This window comes from Homo sapiens, chromosome 11 (genome assembly GCF_000001405.40).
Source record: "Homo sapiens chromosome 11, GRCh38.p14 Primary Assembly".
Taxonomy (NCBI): domain Eukaryota; kingdom Metazoa; phylum Chordata; class Mammalia; order Primates; family Hominidae; genus Homo; species Homo sapiens.
This window is the reverse complement of record NC_000011.10, coordinates 98,697,147-98,706,107: the sequence shown is the minus strand read 5'-3', so window position 1 is coordinate 98,706,107 and position 8,961 is coordinate 98,697,147. Positions and strand designations below refer to the sequence as shown.

Genomic DNA, 8,961 nt, shown 5'->3' with positions numbered 1-8,961 from the left:
GAGGCTAGAAGTCTAAGATCAAGGTGTCAGTAGTTTGGTTTATTCTGAGGCCTCTTAGAATATATATACACACATACACACACACACACACACACACACACACACACTGTGATATATGTACACACATTAAAAATTTTTAAAATATATATAAATATATAAAACAACTATATATTAAAAACAACCGTACATTATATATATATATACACACACACATATATAATCTCTTTGGAGATATTTTCCATATTTTTTTAGTAAGGCAGTGTATCTCAGTAGAAAAGATGGTGTTCTTGGAAGCCATGCTGCTTGACTTTAAATGCTGCCCTGCCACTCCCTGTTCTGTCACCCTGGGTCCTTAACTTCCCTTTCATCTTTATTTTTTCCATGGTGAGAATTATAGTACCTACCTCATATATTTGCTGTGGAGGGTAAATAAGTTAAATCACATATGGCATTTTGAAGAATACCTATACATATTCAATAATTTGCAGATGGTATTAACATAATCCTTTTAACTAAGTAACATATATCACAATTAAGCCCAAAGAATGTCAAATACAAATTAAGAAGAAGCATTTATTAATTTGCCAGTATAGAGAGTGTTGAAAATATGTCTATGCATGTATATGTATACATTAGGTATTTTATATATATATATAATTTAATTTCTCTCCGATGTGCTGTATTTCATAAGTGAACAACTAGAATCTCTTCAAATGTTTGTTATCAAGTTGAACATTGAACACTCTGATATTTAAGAATCAAGAGCGAAGAGAAAGAAGTCTATGTTAACTTGTAGTGTAAAAGGCCCAATACTTCCCTTTTTTTTTTTTTTTTTTTTTTTTTTGAGATGGATTCTCTCTCTGTTGCCAGGCTGGAGTGCAGTGGCGTGATCTGGGCTCACTGAAAGCTCCGCTTCCGGGGTTCATGCCATTCTCCTGCCTCAGCCTCCCGAGTAGCTGGGACAAGAGGCGCCCACGACCATGCCTGGCTAATTTTCGTGTATTTTTAGTAGAGACGGGGTTTCACCGTGTTATCCAGGATGGTCTCAATCTCCTGACCTTTTGATCCGCCTGCCTCGACCTCCCAAAGTGCTGGAATTATAGGCGTGAGCCACCGCGCCCAGCTGGCTCAACACTTTTTACTTAGTGATCAACCCAACACATCTGTTTTCACATATATATATATATATATATATATATATATATATATATATATATATACACACACACACACACATACATATATACACACACACATATATTTATATATGTATAAATATATATATAATTTAGAGAAAACATTGTCCTCTTTTACATAATTAATATTTAAAGTAACAGTGTATTATACTCACATATTAATTTTACTTGGAGAAATAATACAAAATTTGATATTTTTATTCCTGGTGGGGAGCTTGCTTCAGTGCATGATAAAACGGAATTAATATTCAATATTTGATAAACTGAATGGACAGAAAAGAATGACGGTTAAAAGAAATACTTGGAAACTGTCTACAGGCACATATTAAATTATGAGTTTAGAATATTCAGACGAAAGGCTTAAAAATGAATAGAAGCTAATTCTGAAAGAGTTCTTTTAGAATCACATATTTAAAACACGACATACATATGTCTACTTGGAATGTGAAACACAACAGTGTACAGTGGATTACATGATTTATCAAAGATTTCTTCCACTCTCTGACTCCGTGAGTCTGTAGAAACTTTACAGATCTAGCAGCCATGAATACTCATGATGCCTCTCAGCACACTAAATCATTAGTCTGACTTGGCCTTCTTCTGTATATGGTGTCAAGTGTTTAGGGCACTTTTCTTCTATTTTGGTTCTAAATTACGATGACAACTTCCTATTTTGCAGCAAGTAGTTTTCTTATTTTCATTGTCATTGAAGTTCACTTGAGAGGTAGGAAACAATCCTGTATTTGCTAAATGGGAAATTCAATTGTTTCAACCTTTTGCAGCATTACACTTGAAATAGTTTTCCTTTTTTTAACCAAGAGCTATCTTAATAATTCATATCTAAGTGTGAGTGAAAAATTACTGATGATCCTGAAAAGGGGCAGAGCCCTGTTTCCCAGTTCCTGATTATGGCCCTGATCTGACAAGTGAAAATAAAAGGTAAGATTTACTGGCAGCAAAGAATAGCTATGAAATTCATGGGCTTAGAAAATTTGACTTATTTATTTAACTGAGTTTGAAATGAAATATACAGTATAGTGCAAGTGAGGGTCAGAGGGAAATTAAATAAGAGATCGGGGAGTGGAAATATTACCTGAGCTTGATTGAATATCAAATAAACACAATATATATTTACTCAGTTCTCTTGAGACTATTTTATTAAAACAGCTTTCTTCCTATTTTTCAATAAATAAATAAATATTATTTTTCATTGCGAGAAAGAAGACACTTGGGAGGACATCTTTATTGGAGCTTGAAGACATGATGAATTTGTATCAGCAAATAGGAATCTCATTGATTGTCCCAATCAATGTGTTTTCCTAATTGATAGCATTGCTAAGTAGGTTAGGTTAGATAGAAATGCCCTTTCTGTTAATTTATTAACAATGTGATACCTCTATGGATATCGTGTGCTATTTGAAAGGCAAAATCTCAAAGTTTACTTATATGAAAGAAGACAAAATGAACTATAGAAATTATTCACAAGAGTCACTAACATAAATCTTATATCAAACTGCACACAAAGGAAAGGTATCATTAAGATAGATATCTAAATATCATCTCCAATTTTTCCTGTAACTAAAAAGTTGGAGAAGGTGATAAATACATAAGAAGGGTAAACTCACCAAAGATAAAACACCCTCCTTGTCAGCCACATAGCCAAGTGCTCCCACTCTACATTTTTGGACCTCACAATCCTACTAAATTACTCACACAGGCTTCTGTATAGGAAAGACAACCTAAAAATGCTTTTCACCTTAAGCAGTTACTTTCCAAGGAGGGGTAGTTTGGTACTATATATTTTGACTGAGATTTACAATTATGATGTTCAAGTCCCTTGGAATATATGAGTGTCTTTAGAATTAAAATATTGTATGCTTCTTGCCCAGGCGCAGTGGCTCACGCCTGTAATCCCAGCACTTCGGGAGGCCGAGGCGGGCAGATCACCTGAGGCCAGGAGTTTAAGACCAGCCTGGCCGAAATGGTGAAACCCTATCTCTACTGAAAAAAAAAAAAGCCAAAAACAAAAATTAGCCAGGCATGGTGGCTAGTGCCTGTAATCCCAGCTACTTGGGAGGCTGAGGCAGGAGAATCGCCTGGGAGGCAGAGGTTTCAGTGAGCCAAGACCATGCCATTGCACTCCAGCCCTCAGGAAAAAAAAAAAAAAAAAAAAAAAAAAAAAAAAGTATACTTCTTTTACCCATCTATGAATAAAATACTGTTTAGAAAGAAAAATAAATAAAAATACATCATTTTGTTTTTTCAAATTTACTTAGATTTTCTGGAAGGTTTTACATGTCAATAGGCACTAATGATTCTAGAGAATTTTGCATAATTGGAAGACATGAATATCTTGTTTTAAGTATTTAGGGACACATTAAAAACTGGTATGCAATAAATTCTGATATTTTGCAAATGCCAATATATTTTTAGGAGCAAACGGATTAACAAAAGCTTTAGAAAGTTTTCTTGTAAGGATACATCAAACAAAATGATGTTTGAAATGGCTAAGTAGGTAATTCAATTCTACTTGTTACATATAAAAATGTGTGCAAGATATGGTATTTTAAAACAAATGTTTTTGAAAAGTGTTCATTAATTACTAATATATTTTATTTTATGAGAAAATAAATATGCGCCCACACTGTAAAGTGACTGAACTATCACTGTGAGGTAGTGCATTGTTAGATTATTGAAAAGAAAATGGTTATTGAAAGCTGAAATGTATAGCCTGCTTTAATGTTTCAATATAAATACACATTGTATTTTGCAGAATGCAAACAAGAATATAAAATAAAAGTGTTCTGTTGGAAACTAGTGTACAAAATCTAGGTAGAAATTCAGAATATTCATGAAAGAATGTGTACTGGGAAGCCAGATAATACAAATACTGATGAAAACATTAAGTGTTGCTATCCTAATGTTTTCTCAAACTGGAATGATAGAATGACACTTTAAATTGAATGATGTAGCCTCATTAGCAAAATGGCTGACTAGAAAGCTTCAAACATTTGCTTCCCATGAAGATTTTAAAACACAAACAAAAATCAACTAAAATAACCACATACCAATTCTGGAAAACATTCAAAGGACTACAGCAATCAAGTGAACACCACATCAGAAAAAAAGCAACATTTAACATGCAGAAAATGTTACAGTGGTTTTCTTCATTGTTGCCTTATCTTATCCATGGCATGATGCGGTTTTGGTCTGGAGGAGGCAACAGCCCATTTCTTAATTTATTCTCTGACATAAAAGAAGGGCAGAACAGACTTTCTTTGCAGTGTTTTAACTTGTCTCAGGCTGATGGAAAGACAGCTTTTCTTTTTTTTTCCAAAACAAATAAAAATATTTATTTTAAGATTCCAAAATTCATATGTAAAAATTATAATTTTTAGCATCATATTTGATTTATATGCTACTTTATTATTTTTTCCATTATGGTGGTATTTTCCAAAATTTTTACACAATACCACTTTTAAAAATCCCGTTGAATGCAAGTCCTCTTTGTTGGTAAGAGAATTATTGACTTCTAATTTTTTTTTTAATACTCTTAAGTTCTGGGGTACATGTGCAGAACATGCGGTTTTGTTACATAGGTATACACGTGCCATGGTGGTTTGCTGCACCCATCAATGCGTCATCTACGTTAGGCATTTCTTCTAATGCTATCCCTCCCCTAGCCCCCCACCTCCCGACAGGCCCTGGTGTGTGATGTTCCCCTCCCTGTGTCCATGTGTTTTCACTGTTCAACTCCCACTTATGAGTGAGAACATGTGGTGTTTGGTTTTGTGTCCTTGTGATAGTTTGCTGAGAATGACAGCTTCCAGCTTCATTCATATCCCTGTAATGGACATGAACTCATCCTTTTTTATGACTGCATAGTATTCCATGGTATATATGTGCCACATTTTCTTTATCCAGTCTGTCATAGATGGACATTAGGGCTGGTTCCAAGTCTTTTCTATTGTAAACAGTGCTGCAATAAACATAGGTGTTCATGTGTCTTTGTAGTAGAACGATTTATAATCCTTTGGGTATATGCCCAGTAATGGGAGTGCTGGGTCAAATGATATTTCTAGTTCTAGATCCTTGAGGAATCACCACACTGTCTTCCACAATGGTTGAGCTAATTTACACTCCCACCAACAGTGTAAAAGCATTATTTCTCCACACCTCTCCAGCATCTGTTGTGTCCTGACTTTTTAATGATCACCATTCTAACTGGTGTGAAATGGTACCTCACTGTGGTTTTGATTTGCATTTCTCTAACGACCAGTGAAGATGAGCATTTTTTCATATGTTTGTTGGCTGCATAAATGTCTTCTTTAGAGAAGCATCTGTTCATATCTTTTGCCCACTTTTTGATGGGGTTGTTTTTTTCTTGTAAATTTGTTTAAGTTCTTTGTAGATTCTGGATATTAGCCCTTTGTCAGATGGATAGATTGCAAAACTTTTCTCTCATTCTGTAGGTTGCCTGTTCACTTTGATGATGGTTTCTTTTGCTGTGCAGAAGCTCTTTAGTTTAATTAGACCCCATTTGTCAATTTTGGCTTTTGTTGCTGTTGCTTTTGGTATTTTAGACATGAAGTCTTTGCCCATGCCTACATCCTGAATGGTATTCCCTAGGTTATCTTCTAGGGTTTTTATGGTTTTAAGTCTTACATTTAAGTCTTTAATCCACCTTGACTTGATTTTTGTATAAGTTTTAAGGAAGGGGTCCGGTTTCAGTTTTCCAAATATGGCTAGCCAGTTTTCCCAATGCCATTTATTAAATAGGGAATCTTTTCCCCATTGTTTGTTTGTGTCAGGTCTGTCAAAGATCAGATGGTTGTAGATGTGTGGTGTTATTTCTGAGGGCTCTGTTCTGTTCCATTGGTCTATATTTCTGTTTTGGTACCAGTACCATGCTGTTTTGGTTACTCTAGCCTTGTAGTATAGTTTGAAGTCAGGTAGTATGATGCCTCCAGCTTTGTTCTTTCTGCTTAGGATTATCTTGGCTATGCGGGCTCTTTTTTGGTTCCATATGAAGTTTAAAGTAGTTTTTCCAATTCTGTGAAGAAAGTCATTGGTAGCTTGATGGAGATAGCATTGAATCTATAAATTTCTTTGGGTAGTATGGCCATTTTCATGATATTGATTCTTCCTATCCATAAGCATGGAATGTTTTTCCATGTGTTTGTGTCCTCTCTAATTTTCTTGGGCAGTGTTTAGTAGTTCTCCTTGAAGAGGTCAGTAGGGGCTGACAAAGACCTCTTTAAGACTGTTTTTCTTAACTCAGATCTCAGACAGGGAGAAACAGTATCTGCTGCTCAGGAAAGCTACATGGACACTACAAAGCCACAGATGCCTGCGACAAGAGATTACTGGTAGAGACTTAACAATAGACAATCTAAGGTCCCAAGGAGAAGCTGATGTGAGACTCTTTGGGAAATTATGACATTTAAATGTAGCCTTGCATACTGGGAAATGCAAAAGCCCACTGCTATGATTTGGATGCTTGTCCCCTTAAAAATCTCAGGGTGAAATTTGATCCCCAGTGCTCCAGGTAAAGTCTAATGGGAAGTGTTTGGTCATGGGGGAAGATCCCTCAGTGAGAGATTAATAGCCTCCCTGGACATGGGGTGAGTGCACCCCCTTCTAGTAAAAGAAACTGGTGGCACCCCCTTCTAGTAAAATAATCTGGCACCACCCCACTTCCCTGGACATGTGGTGAGTGCTTTCTCATTCTATTAGTTCCCATAACTCTTTAAAAGAATCTGGCACCACCCACTTCTCTCTCTTGCTTCCTCCCTTGCCATGTGACCTCTGCACATGTCAGCTCCCCTTTATTTCTGCCATGAGTGAAGTAGCCTGAGGCTTTCACCAACCACAGGGCCAATCTTCCAGGCAGTGGAATCATTAACTAAATAAACCTCTTTTCTTTATAAATTACTGAGCCTTGGGTATTCCTTTATAGCAACACATAGAAATTAGACAGAAAATTGGTACTGAGTATTGCTTGTTACTATAAGGATAACTGAAAATGTAGAAGTGGCTTTGGAAGTTGGTAATGGGCAGAAGTTGGAAGAGTGAGGAGGGCACAGAAAATGACATAAAAATGAGGGAAAGTATGGAACTTTTCAGAGATTGGTTAAGTGGTTATGACCAAAGTGCTTCTAGAAATATAGACAGCCAAGGCCATGTTGATGTGTCATCGGACAAAATGAGGAACTTACTGAGAACTAGAGAAAAAGTCACCCATTTAAACTAAGCAAAGAATATGGAAGCATTCTGTCTATGCCCTAGGGCTTGGCAGAAGGCTGAATTTAAGAGTGATGACCTAGGTTATCTAATAGAAGAAATTTCTACAGCAAAGCCTTCAAGAGGTGGTAGAGCTGTTTTTAACAATTTAATATCAGGTAGGGCAACAGAGTAATAACCTATAGGTGCAGTTTATAATTAAAGGAAAAGCAAAATGCAGAAATCTGAAAAATTTGCAGCCTGCCTATGTGGTAAAGAATGAAATAACATTTTTTAGACGAAAAATCCAACAGTACTGCAGAGCAAACACTTGCTGGAGAGATTAGCATGACCAAAGAAAGCTAGATGCTTTCAAGACAATGGGAAAAAGGTGTCAAAGTCATTTTAGAAATCTTCAAGGTTACACCTCCCATTAGAATCCAGAAGCTTGGGAGGACAGAATGGTTTTTTTGGGGATGGGGTCAAGCATTGCTGCCCCACACCACCTTGAGATGTTACTCAATGCATTCTAGCCACTGTAGCTCCAGTGGTGGTTCAAAGGACCTCAAATACTGTTAAAGCCACAGTTCTGAAGAGCAAAAGTGGTAAGCATTGCTGGTTTCCATATCTTGCTAAGTCTGCGGCACTCAGAATTCAAGAGCGGTGGAGGCTTGGCCACTTCGACCTAGATTTCAGAGGATGTATTGGAAAGGCTGGGTGCCCAGAAATAATCTTTCCACAAGGACAGGGTCACTGGAGAGACCCTCTACTAGGGGAGTGCATAGTGGAAATTTGGGAGCAGCGTTGCTGCCTTTCAGACACCAGAATTATAAAGCCACGGAAAGCATGCCACCTTAGTCTGGAAAAGCCTCAGGCATTTAACTGCAAACAGGAGAGCAGTTCTGGCAAAGACAGAACTTAAAGACAAATGTATCAAATAATTATAGGTCTGTGTTAATGGGTATACAACATACAAAGATGGAATGTGTGACATTAGTAATATAAAATAAGGGGGTACATAATTATATAGAAGTAAATATTTTGCATGCAATTGAAGTTAAGTTCCTGCCAAATCAAATTGTTATAACTTTAAATTGTTATATGTAATTTCCATGATGACCACATTGAAAATATAAAATATGGAAATCAAAATATGACCCATTTATCTTATATCTTCAAAAATATTTATTCACTGGCACTTTCTCTTTGTATTTTTGCATTTTGTGAGTTTTTCTCATCACTTCAAAACAACAACAATGTCACTGGTAAACCTTTATTGAGTTTCTTGAACTTCATTCACCTATTGCCTTGTCACATCTCTAAAAAGTTATATTCTTGACAGAGATTATAACACTTATTCATTCTTCATTACCCCGTGACCCAAAAAGTCCTACCCACATATACAATAATTTTTTTGTTACTGAAATGAATCAATACTTTTCAGACTTTATTTGTATATTTTGCAATTTTTACCTACTACTGCCAATTCTCTTTTGTTATCCATAGATTATTTTTTTTCCTTTTGTTACTGTGTCTTTTAATT

The 8,961-nt window shown here is 36.0% G+C and overlaps 1 annotated feature.

The window, feature by feature from the left end:
• Nucleotides 1,642-1,842: a silencer, noted in NCBI's record as "peak1430 fragment used in MPRA reporter construct". NCBI's record gives its function as "represses an SCP1 promoter by STARR-seq MPRAs in K562 erythroleukemia cells {active_cell/tissue: K562}" and the evidence as "EXISTENCE:reporter gene assay evidence [ECO:0000049][PMID:32103011]".